The sequence below is a fragment of the Homo sapiens genome, chromosome 12, assembly GCF_000001405.40.
Source record: "Homo sapiens chromosome 12, GRCh38.p14 Primary Assembly".
Lineage (NCBI taxonomy): Eukaryota > Metazoa > Chordata > Mammalia > Primates > Hominidae > Homo > Homo sapiens.
The window spans coordinates 23,113,701-23,134,309 of NC_000012.12; the positions used below are offsets into that span (position 1 = coordinate 23,113,701).

At 35.8% G+C, this 20,609-nt stretch overlaps 1 long non-coding RNA gene across 13 annotated transcripts in view; it reads left to right on the forward strand.

Annotated features, from left to right (window-relative positions):
* The window catches only part of LINC02955 (long intergenic non-protein coding RNA 2955), a 491,729-nt gene that overhangs the window by 413,842 nt on the left and 57,278 nt on the right, over positions 1 to 20,609 (forward strand). Inside the window, exons 11-12 of one of the 13 annotated variants that reach the window (NR_187510.1) lie at positions 13,905 to 14,117; positions 15,082 to 16,904. The exons of the other annotated variants lie outside the window; for them this stretch is intronic. This is a non-coding gene — a long non-coding RNA (long intergenic non-protein coding RNA 2955). Of the gene's footprint in view, positions 1 to 13,904; positions 14,118 to 15,081; positions 16,905 to 20,609 lie in introns of those variants that run through there. 13 annotated transcript variants of the gene reach the window in all.

Sequence of the window (20,609 nt, forward strand, 5' to 3'; positions counted from 1 at the left end):
ACATGCTTCCTGGGGTTGGTGAAATTATAGCTGGTTTCTTAAAGAGGAATGAACCCTATACTGGTTTTGGGGAAGGTGTGAGTAAAAGCACAGGGGCTTAGGATGATTGAACTCTTCTTTGGTCTTGACCAAGGTGATGGGAAATCTAAAGAGATGAGGTTTGAGAAACTGAAGGAGGGCTCTCCTGGAAAGATGAGTAATCAACTTGCTGAAATGGTATTTTGATGCATACTTTTGGTCACTAACCAGATCGCGTTTCCTCTGTGTATGCTGTGATCCCACAAAATAGCAGAACTTGAGAATGAGAACTCGCCATTCAGGTTCAGCCCCAGTTTAGAGCCTCAGGGTGGGAAAGAGTCATCGGGATCATGCTGTTAGTGGTGCCCTGGGACACATCCTCACACAAAGCTCATGCCCCTTTCACAGTCTGATAAAGTTTCTAATCTTTACTATGTCCTCTTACATTTTTCAATAAATTAATCTCCAATCGTACCTAGAGGGCCTTCAGGATGAGCATTTACAAAATATTTAAGTATTTTTATTTGCAAACTTTCATATTATTCTCTTTTTAAAAGCTCCTGATGGCTAAGGGATAGGGTACAAGTACAGGATAAATGTATAAAAATATATTTAATAAATGAAAAATTAAAGCTCAAATGCAATAATTTGACAGTTGAACCATATCAGGGAACTATGTTTCTTAATATTAGCATTTACTGATTTATATTGGCTTCGCAGTAAATCTTAGATAAACTGTCAATTATTTGCTCAGACTCAAGATACTGGCCTGTATTTTGCACTTTATCGGGTTTACTTTTTTTCCTGGTAAATTTAAGCACACACTCACACCCACACACACATACACACACAATTCACAATTTACTTCCTCATAGGGAGATCTTGACATATATTTTTTGAAAAGGCTTATGTTGTTTTTCAAAGTTGGGCCTCTGCTTTCCTTAAAATTAATTGCAGTTTACTCAGAGTTTTCTGCCCTCATCTACTACTTAAGGTCCCATTCTCTTTCAATGAGGAAGAATGGAAACATTGCATTTTACCTCTTTATGGGCTTGATCTATGTAACTATGTTGATTTTCAAGACTGACAGAGCATTCCCTGAAAGGCACTCAAACCCAAAATACTAATGTGAAAATAACTGTTGGTAGGGCAGGCAACAATTTCAAAGAAGCGCAGTTGCGTATCAGGAACTGTAGTGAATACTTGCCAATTCAGGTTTCTAGGAAAATGCTGATCACATTTTGAGAATGGAAATAAGTCAATTTAAAGTGGGCATAATTTTTTATTTCCTAAAAAAAATGCAGAAATGCAGTGATTTACAAAGAACCTATTTTCTCACTGAACATATTTCTAATCCCTGAAAAAGAATTACTAACTGAGAATTGCCTGACTACATAGCAGTAATCATAGACCACCCAAGCATAGTTTTTACAAGGCCAAATTTACAAAAGAATGTTATTGCTTGAGGTTATCAGAAGAAAAATAAGTGGCTATTTATTAGGTTATAATGATGAAAATAAAGGTAGTCAGTCATGCTAGGTTTCATAAGAATAAGTATACTCAACTATGACTCATGATCGTTTTTATCAAAGTATTTAACAAAATTTGCAGTGTTAATAAGTTGAGACGTAGATGGCTGAAAAAAACCTAAACTCTGCCTTAACTGCAATTCCATATGCTCTAATCAGAGAGTTATCCATCTCCACAGAAATGCACAGAAGCGCGACAATAAATGTGACACACATTGCATGTCTTTATAGGTGCAAATTGATAATTGGACATCAAAACAATAAGGTTATCTCATTGCCGAGGTGCAAATTGGCAGATTGCAGACATCAGCAAGAGAGAAGACAAAGGGAAGGGAGTACATGTAAAATCCTATATTGTTGCTGACTTTTAGAGAGCCTATATTTCCAGAAAGAGAGAAACACTACAGAAAACAACAACAACAACAGGACATTTAAGGGATCACATTCTCTCTGACTGCTCTGGATGAAAAAGCTTTTTATAAATTCCTATCCGCATTGTATGAATTGAAACTTTATCTAAACTTGTTATTTTTATTTTTAATGGTCCCGAATAACAACCAAGAATTAAATAGATAAAAAGGATAATGTAGTGATAATATTGTGCAAGCACTTGTGCTAAACCCTTTACAATTAACGAGGTTTGTAGATTAGTTTTGGTAATTGTCACAAGAATGGGTGTCTGTTTTGGAACTAGATCTTGAAAGTCGTGATGCCTCACTATAGTGTTTATATTACAAGGATGCGTACAAGTAAGAATGCTTTGGTGGTTCTCTATTGACATGCTAAAAATTCCATTTGAAACTTAGCAAACTTATAGTTCAGTCTCACTGTGGTAGAATTGGTTGTGTTATTAAAATATATACAGAAGTAACACATAAAGATATGGAAAAAAAGCACAAATTTATCAGATCCATCTAGAAGAAAAAGATGACTAACCCTTATATCAACAGGAAGAGACTGAGAATTACTAGAAAAACAACTATAAAGACAACATAAATCAAACAGCATAGAGTTTAGAACATCAAAAACTCAGAAATTTTCATCTATTATTAATTATGATAAAAAATTCTATCTCAGAATATTTTACACAGCAACTGTTGCCAAGAAAATCTACACCTTCCAGAGCTGAGGAAAGTTAGAAATAAGAACTAAGGCTCTAAACTTCCAATGAAGTTGGATAGCCATTGATAAAATATCCTAATGTCTTTGTACATTTTTCTTTCAATTAAAAAGCCACAATTTAAAAAGAAGAAAATTTATTATTTCAATGGCATTTAAATATTTAATGTCATGACAATTAGAATAGCTACAGATAATGTGGGAACTTAATGTTAGTTTCTAAAATAATATTTTACCATCAAGTTGTGATTTTTTATCTATATTATATGTGTACCTATAATAGAAAGTCTAAAAAAACCTGAGAAAAAGTTAATATTATGGACTTTATTCTGAATTGATGATGAAAGACCTTCACTAACCTCTCTATTAACCTTTCTATTAACCTTTTACAAATGCTTCTTATTAGCCAACGTAGACAAATAGCTGAGTAGGCTTCTTCATCTTACCTCCAATGGTCTTTGAGGAGCTAATTAGTAGAGTGAGGCACAGTTAGACTTTTCTTTATCTGCATCCAGTTCACATCAGCAGACTTTTTATCCACTGAACATCTGTATTCCAATTAGCATCATAACCTCATCTTTCCTGTAGCCACATCTGTGACAGAGATTTTTCTGGTAATGGAATGATGTGGGCACATAGATCAGGGCTAATATCAAAAATCTGGGAAGATCATTCAAACTTTGCTTTGGCTACAAAGCACTAGATGGAGTTGAGCTTTCTTACGTGTTGCAGATTTAAGAAGTTAGAAGGGGAATGTGTGTGTGTGTGTGTGCATGTGTTTGTGTGTGTGTGTGCACATATTCCTATAGAAGTATAAGTTTGTTACAATGTAAGTGGGTTTTCCAAGAATTCAAAGAATGCAATTTTCTTTTTCTGGAAATAAACCTGGGGCACCAGGGATTCTAGATGCCATAAGTTCATAATAAGTGGTTGCTAATTGAGTAATAAAATTGTAATACCCCTACTCAGAGCATGAATGACTAGGAGTCCTTTGAATCCAGAGCTACCCTGGGCTGACCACACTGCCTTGGGAAAATAACTAATCTTCATGAATCCTTAGTTTCCTCATCTATAAACAGTGATATTAATAACAATGTAGCTTAGAGTATCAATGAGTTACATGCAAAATTGGAATTACCATATTTACTTTGTAGGGTTGCTGAAGGAATTAACAGTATCTAAAATAATGTAGGAAGGTATTAGACATTTAATAAAGTATAGTTTTATTAAAGTGCTTACAAATAGTTTTAAAGTATTTAGTTGTTAATACCACATTTATAATATGTATTTCTCATACTTTGCATATCACTACACTTTAAAAAACTGTAGCACCTTTATCATGGAAAAAGAATGATATCAGAGTGAATATTGTCTTTCTACAAATTAGTGGTATAAAAATAAAAACCAGATTTTATGAAGCAAAAAAAATTGTGGTATATAGGTAAAACTGCCTAACCATTTAATAATAACATTGAACATTTTCCTTTCATAGTATATTATTGTCAATTCTATTAAACATCCATATCAGTATGTAAAAAATTATTATAGCAATATATCCATATTGTGGAAATCATATTAAAAAGCCAGACAAATCTATTCTAACTTTACCAAATAGATTATGTCAGCTGTTCAGTAGTCAGCTTGATATTATTGGTAAAATGTAAAACAAATATGGTATGAAATAATCTATTAAAATTGAAAGCGGGAAAAATAAGGATAATAGTTAATTGTACAAAAAGAGGATGTTCTGGAGACATTGTCTAGTTGTGGGAGATTTAATATTCAAACTTTATAAAAATAGAGGAAACATATATATAGGTGTATTGGATAAAAGTCTTGGATCAATGTGATATTAATGGACAAAATTCAACAGGAACACAGATCAAGAGGGGCTTTTGTGAAAGTCCTGATAAATAATGTCTCATCCTACTGAATTTGATGAGTATTACTGTATATGTGTGTGTTTGTGTGTGTATGCATATATATAATCTGGTTTTGGAAGACATTTTAATGTTACTTCAATACAATTTACAGAGAAAAAATTAGCCAGGTCTACAGAAAACCAATTTGGGGAAAATTTATTACTTTGAGGTGTTGTCACAAAAAGGCCCAACCTAAAAAGGTTTAACATGATCCTTTAGATAGCAGAACTTACTCTCCATGATCTGTTTTTCAGAGTTAACTCAAATATAAGAATAATATAATAATAAGCCATCTTAGGCAATCAATGGGCCCACAGCTCAGGAAATTTTGATTTTCAGGGATGATTTCCTGAAGGATGATGTGCTCTTATATATAATGATAATGCCTTATCACATACAATGCTTCCAATGTTTAAACTGTACTTATATACTCATTATCTTTTTTGCCCCTTGCAACAATCCTTTGCAGCATGTAGGGCATATAAGTTTCATCAACTCCACTTTATAGGTGAAGAAATCACCATGTCCACACATTAAGGAACTCACTAAGAATTCTGGTTAGAGCTGAGTCCTCTTCAGGGCAACTCCTTAATTTTCCAGATAGACAGTTACAAAAGGTATTTAGAATAGACTTGCTTTAATCTCAGCATTTGTAGCTGCATTAGTTGTAGATTTTCACTGCTATAAGTTGGTATGATTCACTTTATTAAATGACTAAAAATACAAGATTGGCAATTTATTCATTGAACTGTTCAGCTTCTTTTTTTTTTTTTGGTCCATTTTAGGACCACTCTGAGGGGCTATTAAAATAAATTTCAACACTAAAACTTCATAATGTTTATACCCTAGGCAGTACTTTCACCCAGTCCTTCCTTCCTTCCTTCCTTTCTTTTCTTTCTTCTTCTTTCTTTTTCTTTTTTTTTCCCATAGAGATGCTATTTTGCCCAGGTTGGTCTTACACTCCTGACCTCAAGCGATTCCTCTGCTTCAACCTCCCAAAGTGCTGGGATTACAAGAGTGAGCCACCCTGCCTGGCCTTTCAAATTAAAACACTTATGTCACACTATTTATTATCCTTCTTAAAAACAGAAGTTACATTTAATCCATTTTGTATTAATAGTAATTTGTACATATTCAACAAATGTGTGTGAAACAAGACAGTAGCTAGTACTCACTGTGGACCCATCACTATTCTTACAGCTTCTAAATATATGTGGAATTTATGGAATGTAGAATATTCTATGGAATATAGAATATATATTTAGAAGCTCTAAATATAAACAACCCTAGGAGGTAGCTGCAATGGTTAAATCTATTTTATAGCAGAGGCAACTGAGACATAAGAAGGCTATATTCCTTGCCCAAAGTTAATTATCTACAAAGCTATAACACAACTTCAGCCAGTCTGACTCTAGAATCTGGGTCTTTAATAAGTATATTATGGTTGAATCAAGGATAATCATCAGAATAGCTAACATTTTATAGTGATACTATGCTAGGTGCTATTCTAGACACTTTACGTATGTTGATTCATTTTCTCCTAAGATTTCCATGTGGTAAGTACTATTATTTTACCTTATACACATAAGGAAATTAAGGCAAAGAGAAGTTATGAAATTTGCCTGAGGTCACTCAGCTAGTGAATCGAAAAGCTGGTATTGTAATCCAGGCAGTGTGAACACAGAGTCCGTACTATTGACTACTAGACTTGCATAAAGAGGAACTCAATTTCTTTCACTTTCTCATGTTAAATTTAAAATAAGATGACAAATAAATCAGAATGACAGTTCATCAAATGTGAATTGTGATCTTGAAGTCCCCTTGTGAGTTGATTAGCACAAGTTTTTCATATCAAAATCTTCTTGGGAAACCAAATTCAGATAATAAAATTGCTTGCCTGGTGAATATAGAATGAGAATAAATTGGAGCTGAGTGTCTAGAAGGTGCTGGATCCACCATGGCCACTGTGAGAAATGAGCTATACAGACTGGCATTTCTTTGGTTGTGCGTTAGTGCACTCGTACCCTTGGATGGTAGGAAAACACATGGGCATATTATGAGCACCCCTGCTTAATAGTAGTGCTTGGTGGCCAATGAAAGTTTCAGCCACGGCAGCATTGCTTCCTGCCACAGTGTTCACTATTACACCTCCTTTCCCAGTGTTATATTAAGAATTGGAGTCTTCTTTGGGGTGCCCCAGCTCCTTGTGGGAATTCAGGAGCTGCTGTGGCTTCCTTAGTAGGTCACCATGTCCCTGTGCTCTATTCCCACCATCACAGCTCATGTCTAGCCACCATCATCTGTCACCTGGATAGCTGCATGTAGGTCCCAGCTAAGGGATAGCAAACCAATGGCCAGAAGGTCAAATCCAGCTGGAAGAAATATTTTGTTTGAGAACTAATGTTGAGAGCTTAGCAAAAATGGAATTTGTTGCCTTTGTTTAAAAATAGGAGAGTTCAATAAAATGGCCAATACTCAGCTGTCCTAAAACACTGAAAAATTGGAGGATCTGGAAACGTTGGACCTGTATTTTCCCATGGCAACAATCAGCTGGAAGTAGTTATCCAAATAAGGTAGAGAATGCTTTGTGCTGCCTAACTCTAGGAGCAAGTGCCGACCATGATAGCCTTTGACGCTATTATTGACTTGGTGGCTGCTTCCGTTACATGAAGCATGTGTGCTCTCTTTTTTGCCTCAGTCCCTTTCTGGTCTCCTTCATTCATCTATATTACCTTCCTGGTCCCATAGGCTTTTGCCTTTGCGATGCTTATCCAAAATAGTACGCCTGCCTTCAGTCTCATTTCCCTAAAATCCATTCTCCCTTCAGCCAGAATTAACTTAATAACTAATATATATATATATGTGTGTGTGTGTGTGTGTGTGTGTGTGTGTGTGTGTGTGTTATATATGTTTACATGTATGTTGTGTACAATCACCAGGCAATTTTCTATGGCTGGAGATGGCTTGAAAAAACTAAAAGAGTAGTGTCTTGGCCGGGCACGGTGGCTCACGCCTGTAATCCCAGCACTTTGGGAGGCCGAGGCGGGCGGATCACGAGGTCAGGAGATCGAGACCATCCCGGCTAAAACGGTGAAACCCCGTCTCTACTAAAAATACAAAAAATTAGCCGGGCGTAGTGGCGGGCGCCTGTAGTCCCAGCTACTTGGGAGGCTGAGGCAGGAGAATGGCGTGAACCCGGGAGGCGGAGCTTGCAGTGAGCCGAGATCCCGCCACTGCACTCCAGCCTGGGTGACAGAGCCAGACTCCGTCTCAAAAAAAAAAAAAAAAAAAAAAAAAAGAGTAGTGTCTTACATTTAATTTTAAGTTGTCTCTTTGTTCTATACACTAATCCCATCTGCTAGGTCTAAACTTTCAGTAAATACCTGCCTTGGTTCACCAGCCTTTGGTGAGCTATCCTTTGAGAAAATGAAGGCAAAATTGAGTTACACGGAGAAGAGGACAGGGGCAGGGATGCCAGACAAGAATTAAAACATCGGTAATGGGCACCATGACTGAACTCCAGCCTCCTGAGTGTTTATGGAGCAACTGAGAGGATGCCGGGTTCCTCACAGTATGGACACTGGAGGCTGGAGCTGTTGTATTGATTTCTAATGAAGGGATAATCTGCAACAGTTGGTGATTTGAAGCTATCCAGGCAGCAGGCCCTTGAGTCTTACTGGCCCACACTCAGGACTTTGTCCTTGCATGTGTTTACAGCCTCTTTTGTTTAACTCTGCTCCATGACATGCACCAAGCCCTACACCTTCCTCTGTGGTCGATCCAGCCATATACTATGGGGCCAGCTCCCCATGGAGATCCAGTGACACTCTCTATATCCATCCACAAATTCCTGTATGCTCTGTTTATTCCCCCTTGGTACCTCCAGATTTACATGGCTCCTGACTTCTGGCTTCCTCTAATTTCAGCATCACATTCAGTATGCCTTAGTGATATTGAGCTTCTTCCTATGCACTTAATATACTATGCTTTATAACATATATTCTAAGGTAATATGCTGTTTTCCATATCTAGAATTGTCTGATCATTCACTCATTCCACAGATATCATTGATGTTTATGTCCCTCTATGTCTCTGGCACTGTTATCGTTTCTGTACGTAAAGATGCATCACTGAACAAACAGATAAAAATCCCTGCAGCAAGGGAGCTGGTATTTTAGTAAGAGGAGAGAGGTAATACAGTAAGTAAGTAAATTATTGAGTGTATTAGCATGTTATGCATACTGGGAAGAAAATAAAGCAAGGTAAGCAGACAGAACATGCTGGGAAAGTGGCTTGCAAATTTAAATTGGATAGGCAGGTAAGGTTTCAATGTTGAGAGGACATTTGAGGAATAACATGAAGGAAATGGGGGAGTGGGCCGTGTGGGAAGAGCAATACAGGCAGAGGGAACAGCAGGCAGGCAGGAGGGGCTACAAGCAAATGAGGGAGGAAAAAATCAGTAGAAGATGATGTGAGAGAAGTAATGTATTATGAGGCTGGAGGTGTGAGGGGCTATTGTATGGGGCCTTAAAATCAAAGTAATTTGGCTTTTATGCTGAGTGAAATTGAAAAACATTGATGGGTTTTGAGCAGGAAAATAACATGGTCAAATATACATTTTTTTTTTTTTTTGAAAGATCACTTTGATTGCTTTGTTAAGAACAGCAGAGACCAGGCAGGAGGCTCCTGCAGTACTCCAGGAGAGAGGCAAAGGTGGCTTGGACTGGGCTCATGGCCAGGGAGGTGGAAGTAGTTGGATTCTGGATGTGTTTTGCAGAAGTGTAAGGTATGAAAGAAGAGCACCCTGCATTTTTTTTAACCTATACACATGGAAGGATGGAGTTGCCTCTTGATATGAAAAAGAGAGCAGGTGAAAAATACTTAGAGGGAAGGAGTTCAGTTTGTGATGTTTTAACTTTGATAATGGAGATATTAAGTGAGTATTTGTATATACACCTTTAAATATCAGATGAATTGTGGGCTGGGGGTATTAATTTGGGAGTTTGAAAAAGATGGCATCTAAATTATTGAATTGCCTCACCAATGAAGAAAGAGCACATAGAGAAGAGATTTAAGAATGGAGTCCTAGGACACTCCATACTTTAGGGATCAGAAGGAGGAGGAAACTAGCAAAGAAGACAGTGAGTGACCATTCAGTTAGGAGTAAAACTAAGGGCTTGTGGTATTGTAGGAGCCAAAAGTTTCTAGAAAGAGAGAGAAATGAAGGATGTCAAAGGCTTTGCTTGTAGGCCATGTGACATGAGAACTGACAAATGCTTGTTAGATTTCATCTTGGGATGACTATAAACCAGTGGAAATTATCCAGGAAAGATACAGGAACTGGTGCTGTGAGAGTGGGGAGACTTCTTGGAGCCTCCAGTGAGTGGGAGACCGTGGGCCCAAATACCTAAGTGGAGGGGCTGGCTCAGATAGGAGAAGCTCAGACAAATGACTGTGGCTGTGGTTCTCAAAGCATGGTTCCCAGATCAACAGTATAGCCATTACCCGGGAGCCTGTTAGAAACCTGTTAGAAAATTCCTGGGCCTCACTCCAAACCTACAGAATCAGAAACTCTGCGGGCGGGGTCCAGCACTCTATTATACAAAGCCCTCTAGGTGATCTCAATGCACACTTAAGTTTGAGAACCACCAAAACTAGGAAGTTCTGTTTTATCTTTTAGGATTTAACTCAGGGTCACCTCATTTACAAAGTGACATGTTTCCTCTCTTATAACGACTACTGTTTGCCAGGCTTAGAAATGGAACTGAGTTTCAGCTTATATTAAATGCATACCACATCAGGGGCAGAGCAAGGTTTGGCAAAGCTTGAAGCTTATGTCATTTGGAGGGACAGGGCCTTCTTTAACAAGTAGAATACATAATTACACATATAAAATTTGCTAAAATAATGCATATTTATTTTGAATGAAAAACACATTTAGAAAAAAATCACAAGTTTTAAGAGCTGGCAATACCTCAAACATCACCAACACACAAAAAAATATATTAACTGCCTAATATACCTGTATAATACTTTGTTTCTTATTTTTGTGCTATATACTCTTTAATAGCATTTTATATCATGGTATTTTTGTAATATTATTATATAGAGAAAAAAGATAATCTTTACGATTATTGATTGAACTTGAGTTTGTGTTTGTTTTATTTAAAGATTAGAAAAATTCCTTTTGGCTTCACAACCAGTATTTGGTGTTATCTAATATATTTTAAAGACTGAGGTCCTATTTGTCAAAACTTCTACCAAGTTTCTTTCACAAGTTAGCCTCAAATCTTCAGGGCAGTTCAGGGTTTCTCAAGTAGTAACTAATTTCAGATACTCTGAATTGAAGGCATTCATTTATCAGTTTGTTTTTGATAATTTGTTTATTAGACATATTATAATTTTTACGATAAATCTATCGATGCTGGCACTTCATATCAAAGCAACAAAAAATTTCCATATTTTAAAATATGTTTATGTAATTCATACCACTTCATTAACTGGACTAGCAAACATTCAAGAATCTACCCATTACTTCTGTTCAAAATTTGTCTTTCTCTTAAGGAGTTATTGCCCTTGAAATGATTTTAAAAATTTTGTCTTAACATTTACTTTTTTATATTAGAATAATTTCTATTGATTTTATTACTTATATTTATCATTTTACTTCATATGCCATTAATTATTTTACCTGAATTGTCTCTCAGTTCAAGAGAAAGAAGGTATATTTCACATGTACGCTGATTAGGAGTCTGTAATTTCTCACTTATTTGATGGAAATATTACAAACTCCTTTTTAGTATTACAGTTAAAATGTTGTATTCAAGCTTCATGAACTTTTAAAATAAACATTACACACTATTTTGTATTTGGTGTTCTTTTTCAAGTCTTCTCAATATATTTTAGAGCCTCTAAAATGGCATTTTACCCATCGTCTCATAGCTTAAACATCTTTATCAGGGTAGACCACATCTTTACACTTAAGAATATAAGCATTTAAAACCTCAAATTGGTATGTGTGTTTAGAAGCAGCTCAATGTAAGAAGAACCCAAAGAAACCAGAACTGCTAAAATATCAAAGTGGTCAAAATCTTCAAGCAGTATCGAGGTATTGTTTTCTCCAATGAGATTAAGGGAATGAACCCTGCATACGTGTTCTGCAATACATTTGCCCACAATATTGGGTGAGCAACACTCCCAGCAGTATTCTTGAACTATTCCAATACTGGGATGGCTAGTAGTGACTTAGATATGCACAGAAGTGCTCGTGAACCTTACAAACCTAATCCACTATCTCTAGCTCAACATCTCATTAGGCAGATCCCCCAAATTTCTGAAACCACTCCGGAGCCACTCAAAAGATGGAGAAAATGTATGAAGGATGCAGTTGTAAAAGAAAAACACAGCAGTCTTAAACAATTGCTGCTAAAACATCATAATTTGGCACGTTTTAAATTTGATGAAGGAGACACATTGCCAGGGCCCTTCTCAAGTTCCTGGAGGGTTCCATGTAAGAGAGAGTTCATAAAGTTGTTTCATTAGCTTCCAGGTAATTCTGCCTCTGTACGTCTTGTGAGGTAGACTTTTCTCGCTCTCTCTTATGTTCCTTTGGACAGTACCTTTTATGATAAATAATCTTTTTCTAACATCCTTTATGTATTTACCTGTGATTAGAGCCATGCCCTCAAGAACCCGCATTCTGTATTCTCTTAGAATGTTTAACAGATTATTTTTCACCATTGAAATACTGTTAGCAGAGCTGGAATTCTCCACATTCCTCCTGTTGACTCTGTAGACTTGTAAACACAATCTTTAGGAGATTTTAACTTTGACAGTAGAGAAAGGGTATTAGATAGACATGAATAAATCTAACATAATATCTTTCATGCCTGTTAAGGGGTTAAAATATGCTGTTCTGGCATATTGACTGTTTAAGTTACAGACACTCGAAACATAGCACGTGCAAAAAGATCACTTTGACCCTTGTGATGTTTCTTAAAAGCAGAAGATAGAATTGCCATGTGAAAGACACCCTCTCTATACCAGAAAGATGCAGCATCCTTATCCTCAAGGACAAGAAGACGAAACCAAGAGAATTCTGTGCAGATCTTGTTAGAAATAACTCTTATCTTTTAAGCCTCCCCACATAATTTAGTTGCTTCTTCACAGCTATTATTCATCCAGTTGAGTGTATAAGTAACTGACCTTAACTGCTTCTTTGTGTCTTCATTTCCTTATGAGGGCTTCTGTGCCACATAAGACTTGTACTATGCTTTTCTCCTGTTAATCTGTTACAATGTCAATTTAATTCCAGGACCCTAAGAGGATGGAGGTGGAGTTTTTCTGCTCCTACACCTGGATAGGCAAGACCAACCACTTACCAGATGGGGAATCTTCCAGTGCTAATAGTTCAGACTGTGCATACAAGAAACTGAGAGAAGGACCAGTACTGTTTTGTGGTTGCAGGTTGTTCCATGATGAGAATAGGGCCAACCATAATGGGAGTAGGCTGGCAGAGACTTACTTGTCTAGTCATGGGCTTTATGGCAAATGTCTCTAACACTTACCACCCAAAGCTATGCTTATGGTGTTGCAGTCAACATCTTACTTTATGAACTTATAATCTATACTGATGTTTATTGTTACTATGTTTTCCTGTTTACCTGAGAGGGGCCACACCCAAAAGGAGTGTCCTAGAGGTGGAAACATGTACTACATGTTCTATTATAGCATTTATCATATTATAATATGAATAATATGCTGCCTCTCTGCACTTCAGCTTAACCCATGACCTCTCTGAGAACAAGTAACATGTCGCATTGACCTTTACATTACTCCCCAGCACCACTTCTTCACTCTGCCCTATCCCAAGTCCTTCGACTTTGCCTTATACATGTGATCCTCTCTGAAATTTGTGTCTAAGAAATGATCAATGAATAAATACATGATTGAATCAATACCTTACTTCCTCCAGAGATGTTTACTTATCTTTAATCACATCCATTCTATGTTTATGATTTTAATTTGTAGGTTATACTTGAAAACAGTAGCCTGATAATAAATATAAATTTATCAGTTTCTCTCTATTGAAGTTTCAGAACCCCTTTTGCCTCTTCTCATTTATAATTCCTTTAAATTAGGTAGGAAAGCAAAAAGGAAATCTTAGTGAGGCAAATACTAGCTTCTGCTTCCTATGTAAGGAGATAATGGTACTGACACTATCAGCTGAGGATATTTTATACTTCAATGGTTTTGTGAATGGGAACTAATCCATTACTTTCTTAACTTGCTATCTATTTACTTTCTTAACCTATAGGTGCACAGGTGGATGACTTGGCAGGAGATGCCATTTATGGCCATGGAACAGTCAAGTTGTTAAGGGGACCAAGAATGTCAATGAACTAAAAGTTTCTGGACCAGTTTATTAGGCAAAAATTAAAAATAAAAATAATATTTGAGAACCTAAAATAAATTTGATCTCAACTTGCATAATATCTCTAACTCACTGAGGTTCCACGAAGACAGGCAGGTGTTTTTTCTTGTTGTTGTTGTTATGTTCCATGTTGTGGAGTTGTAGGTGAGGGCAAACACCCTTCGTATATGATGCAAGCACAAAGCAAGCTTTATCTAGAAAACTTAAAGGCAGATGATTGGCTGAATGATATGTGAAAACCTCATGCTCTCAGCCTTTTAGCAAGAGGGATGCAGAAACTAGATCACAGCAGGATGTACTATGGAATAAGTTCTAGAGAGATCCCCAAACTTTGCTGTTCTATTTTTAGAGAATGTGGGACAATGCGGGCATTTGTGGGTATGAAAGCAGCTTTGGGGGATGGTGTGGAGGGGGTAAAACGGGTTCAGCTTGGGTGCCAGGTACCCAGTGAAGGTGATACCAGTGCCCACATCCCCAAATCCTTTATTCTGGTGTGGTAGGGGCACTGGGCAATGCAGATGATGAGCAAGATGGTCGTAGGACAGTACCAGCCACAAGATATGCACTCAAAAATATTAAGTGAATAAATATGTAATTGAGGATTACAGTTGTTAAAATCCACTACAAAGTTTTCATAAGCATGAATTGACAATGGGATATTGAAAGGTCAAACATGAAACCCAAAATATGGGTGATTAGGAAGAAATAGTGCTAGAGCAGCAAATGAAAGAACCAGGAGCTGCAATGAGATATAAAACAAAGCGCAGGGGACAAATGGAGAAAAAAAAAAATCTGCGAATAAAAAGGGAAGTCAAAGTTTGGCCTGGAGCAGGAGAGAGCCTTATAAAGTTAGCTTCAAAGTACTGCTTGAATGAAAAAGAAATTACAGCAGACAACATACATGTTAATGAAGCTCAAACAATATTGAAAAAGAACCCATTATCATTACCTAGATTAAAAGAAAAGACAAGATTAACAGCTCAGACATCACTAGGACAGAATAAGAATTAGGCTTATCCACAAGCTCTCACCTTCCTCTCACTTTTTCCATCTTTTCTAGGAAGCCCAAGAAAAAGAGGTTGAAGAAAATTAACTCTGAAAAACTTTGGCTGTAGTTATGCATTTTGGTAATTACAGTGAACTAAGAGCAATAGCTCAACATAAGGGATAAAATGTGTGTCAAGTCTCAAGAAAGTACTCAAACACTTTTTAAAAACTCAGAAAGCAGAACTGTAAAAGGGTAAATGGTGAGGTGGAGGGAAAAACTTGGAAGGTAAAGGATGTAATAATTATTTATTCCTTTTCTAAAACAAAGATGAAAGGGCCAAGTATTTATTATTCTTTTATTAAAATAAGAATGATGAAGCTTTACTCCTTTTCCTGCAATTTTTTTTTTTTTTTTTGGCAAACCTCTCAAATATTTTGTAATAGCTCTAAAGAGAAAAGGTTATGGTCATTTTCATATCTTCTTTTGTAAAACACTGTTCAAACCTCTTGCCAATTTTTCCACTGTATTTTTTGTCTGATCAATCTGTGTACATTCTTCATATATTCTAGACCTAAGCTTGTAAGTTATGTGTTATAAATACCTTTTCCCATTTTGTGGTTTTATTTATCTCTTGGTATTGGTGTCTTTTTGTGAACAAAAGTTCTACTCTTACTATAATCTCAGTTAACAATCTTTTCCTTTATGGTTAGTAATATTTTGTGCATCCTGTTTAAAAATTATTTTACAACAGTAAAGGAATACAAATCCTTTTTTAGATTGCCTTCAAGAAACTTTATTAATTTCCTTTCATATTTAGACCTATAATCTACTTGGATTTGATTTTTGCAGATAACGTGTGCAGGAATTGATGTTCAGCATTGTTTTTTGTCTATTTGGCAATCGTATTGTCCCAGTCACACTTTTTATCTTCCTCTCACTGCTCTGCCTGTACTTTTTTCATAAATTAATAGTAAATATATGCATAGATTTCTAATCTGTTCTATTGATCCATCTATTCTTGCACAAATACCACATTGTCTTAATTACTCTAGCTTTAAATTGACATCTAGTAGGGGAAGTTTTCCCATTATGTTTTTCTTTTTCAATAGTGTTTAATCTCTATTCTTTTTCAATTTACATACATGTGAGAATCAACTTGTCAAATCACACACACACACACACACACACACACAGCATGCAGAGTCGAACTTCTTGAGATTTTTAATGGGACTGTATCAAATTTATAATCAATTGAATCTTCTAGTCAGTGAACATGTATGTTTTCTTTAATTTCTTTCAACAATATTTTGTGAAATTATGCCTTGAGAGTTTTACACATCTTTTAGATTTATTCCTAGATATTTTATTTTGTGGACTTTATTGTAAATGGTATCTTTAAAATGTCATTTGCTGACTACCTTCAGTTCAGCAACCTTATTAAGCTAACCTTCTGTTTCTAAATAATTATCTGTAGATTTATTTGAATTTTGTATATATTCAGTCATCACACCTGAAAAAAATAAAATATTTTTTCTTCTATTAAAGTTATTTTTTTCATGTCTTACTGCATGGCATAAAAAAAAGGTAATAAGGACATATCCTTGTCTTTTTCCTAATTTCAGAGGGAGAGTTTTCAAAATGTCAACCATGCTGAATTTTCCAATCTCAGACGGAAGGTTTTCAGCAAATATCAAGTGTAACATTTGCTCTAAACATTTGTAGATATTTCTGTCAAGTTAAGAAAGATGTTTTTCCTCTTATTTTGCAAGCGCTTTCCCATGAATGCATTTTGTAGCTCCTCTATTTTGTTAATACGGTGAAATATTGAATTTTAATGTTAAATGAAATTTTCCTTCCTAGAATAAACTCTTTGTCCAGTTTTGTTTTTCTCTTTACCCATTATTATATTTGTTTGGTAGTATTTGTTTAGTATTGCTTCATTTATGTTCATGAGTGAAATTGACTGCAATTTTCCTTTCTAATAATATACTAATTAGATTTCTGATATCAAATTTATATTGGCCTCATAAAACAAATCGGAAGTATTCTCAGTTTTTCTGTTCACTGAAAGAGTTTGGGTACATTTGACATTACTCCTTCCTTAAACATTTAGCAGAATCACAGGTGATTTCATTAGGTCTGGAATTTTTCTTATGATCAGTTTCACACTGTGGATTCAATTTCGTTAATAGTTACAGGAGTATTCGTTTTCTTTCTGCTTCTACCTGTATACTTACATTTTGGAAGTCTATCTTTCAAGCTGTATTTTCAAAAATTGTCTGAGATCTTTGCTTTTTATTTGGAGTATTTAGTTCATTTATATTTCATTTAAATATTTATATTTTTGCTTTCTGATTGTCCAACTCTTTCATATTTTTCTTCTTTCATTTTTCTTGCTTGCCTATATTTGGAATGATTATACATTTTTATGATTCCATTCCTCCCTCCTCATTTAGGTTGGAAGCTATGTATTCTTGTACTATATTTTTATGGTTACCCCATTATAAGGTGCATCTTTTTCTTATTAAAATATATTGTTGTTTGATACTATTAACCTTTTCCCAGATCACTCAAAAATTAAAAATACCTTAATTATTATCTTTCTGACTTTAATGACATTGTCACTTAAAAAAAATTCTATGTACATTAAACTGCCTAGGACATTATTATTGTTTATTTTACAGTTAATATCCATTTTATTTAGCTTTACTTTTTTTGTTGATTTCTAGGTTCTTTTTATTTTCATCTTCAGACTTTCTTCTGGGATCATTTTCTTTTTCTCTGAAGATATTCTACAGTGTGGTTCTTCTGGTGCCAAATTCTGTTAGGTTTGTTTTACTTGGAAATATATTTATTTTACCTTTATTCCCAAATAATATTTTTGCTCGGTATAAAATTTTAGGATGGCAAAGATATTTTTGCTGGATTTTGGAGAAACTATTACATGGCCTTTTGGCTTTAATTGTTTTTATTGAAAAGACAGCAGTCAGTTTAAATATTGTTCTTTTGAAGATAATCTTTTTTACCCATTTCACCTAATTTTAAGGTTTTTCTTTCTGCTGTGATGGACTCAAAAGTGATTTTCTTTGTACATGTCTTGCTTAAGGTTCATAGTGCTTTTTGAATCAGTGACATGATGTCACTCATCAGTTTTATATCAGCTGATAAGTCTTCAAATTGTCCTGCTCTATTCTCACCTGGAAACCTGCTCGTACACCAGTGCTTCCCTCCTCAGTAAAAAGAACCATCAATTGCCTAGGCAAAGTTATCTTTCACCCCTCTCATTCATACACCATATCCAATCTATTGGAAATTTTGAGAATACACGTGGAGATTAGATCACCTCTAACCACTTATGTTTCTCCCACTGAGATGCATGATTTTAGGTATTGACTTGACTAGATTAAGAGATATCCAAATGCCTGGTAAAACACTATTTCTGGGTATGTCTGTGTGGGTGTTTCTGGAAGCAATTAGCATTTTAATCAGTGGACTGAGGAAAGGAGAGCTTCCCTCACCAATGTAGGTGGGTATCATCCAATTCTGAGGGCTTGCATAGAACTAAGAGGTTAAGAAAGTGCAAATTCACTCTTTTCATGAGCTGGGACATCTATCTTCTCCTGACCTAGGACATTAGAATTCCAGTTTCTCTGGCTTTTGGACTCTAGGACTTATACCATCAGCTCACTGGTTCTCAGGCTCTCAGATTCAGAATGAATTATAACACTGGTATTCTAATTCTCCAGTTTGCAAGTGGTATTTTGTGGGACTTCTCAGCCTCCATAATTGCATGAGCCAATTCCCATAATTAATGCCCTCTTTATCTATCTATCTATCTATCTATCTATCTATCTATCTATCTATCTATCTAATCTCTCTAGCCTATTGGTTTCATTTCTCTGAAAACTAACAAACCTACCTTCATCAAGGTGCAATTGTTCTCACATGGACTACTGCAGTGGCCTTCCAACTAGTGTCTCTGCTTTTCTCCCTTCAACCCCCAATGGTCCAATCTTCACGCAGCAGCCAGAGTAAGCCTTTTTAAACCAAAATCATGTAGTGTCACTCCTCTAGTCTATCGTCCAAGGGGTTCCTCTCACACTTGGGGTAAAATTCAAAGTCCTACCACAGTGGCCCTTGGGGCCATTCCTTATCTGTCCTCTGGCTGTCTCTGACCTGCTGCTTACCACTTTTCCCCTGCTCAGACTTCTCTAGCCTCATTGAATTTCTGGCTCTTCCTGGAAGATATCAAACATGTTCCTGCCTTAAACCTTTGTAGTGTGGTTCCCTTTGCTGAAACACTCTTCCCAGATATTCACATACCTTGTTTCTTTAATTTATTGAGGTATGTAATCAAATTTCACTCCCTCAGAGAGGCCATCGCCATCATTTTCTATTTTCTTATACTGCCTTATTTTCCTCTTGGCACTTTTATTACTGATACTGTATTTATATTGGCTTATTTTTCTTTCTAAATATTTCTATTAAAACATGAACTCCATGTGAGCAGTAATTTTAACCATTTTTGTTTTTCTTATTTGTTGTATCACCAGGGTCTAGAACTGTGTTTGGCATATAAAAAACAAATATTTGTTAAATAAAATAATTAATGGCTATTGTCACTTTTTTTCTCAGTAAATGTATCAGGAAGAAGAAAATGGGTAAAGAATTGGCTGTAGTGAAGAAGATAGTTCAATAATTTTGGTTAGGGTGGTGTAGGCCTTAATTGTGGAAGCAGTATTGAGATCTTTTCAGAATTTTTTAAATCCTTTCCTTAAAATGTTCAAATCCAATAATGAAATTGAGTGCTAGAATAAATTAGATGATATGGTTTGGCTGTATTCCCAGCAGAATCTCATCTTGAATTGTAGCTCCCATAATTCCCACATGTCATGGGAGGGACCTGGTGGGAGGTAATTACATCATGGGGAATGGGTCTGTCCTGTGCTGGTCTCGTGATAGTGAGTAAGTCTCAGGAGAGCTGATGGCTTTATAAATGGGGATTCCCCTGTACAAGCTCTCTTGCCTGCTGCCATTTAAGACATGCCTTTGCTTCTTCTTTGCCTTCCACTATGATTGTGAGGCCTCCCCAGCCATGTGGAACAGTGAGTCTAGTCTACTAAACCAGTTTTATTTATAAACAAGCCAGTCTTGGGTATATCTATATTAGCAGCATGAGAACAGAGTAATACATTAGGGATTTAAACATATTAGAGATAACTTTTTATTTGATCATGATATAAAGTATTATTAAAATGATCTGAAAAGAAAATTCAACAGGGAATTTTCAGAACTTAAATGACTGTGTACAACTTTCATTCCAAAGAATCAACTTCTCAACACTCTGTCTTAGAGTATATCTGTACATCACTCATCCTTTAAAATAGTTATGCCTAAAATGAAGATATGTGACATTTATTTAACAGCCACATAAGTCAATACAATCCATTTAAGATAGTGTTGTAAAAAAATATAACTAGAGCCTAGAAAAATGTGAGATATTATGTTTAAGTGAACATTTTCAAAACTCTTGTTTTTTGAAATTCTCTCCAACAACTTATCTATATTTTAACCAAAGAAACATGGGTCAGCACTTGCAT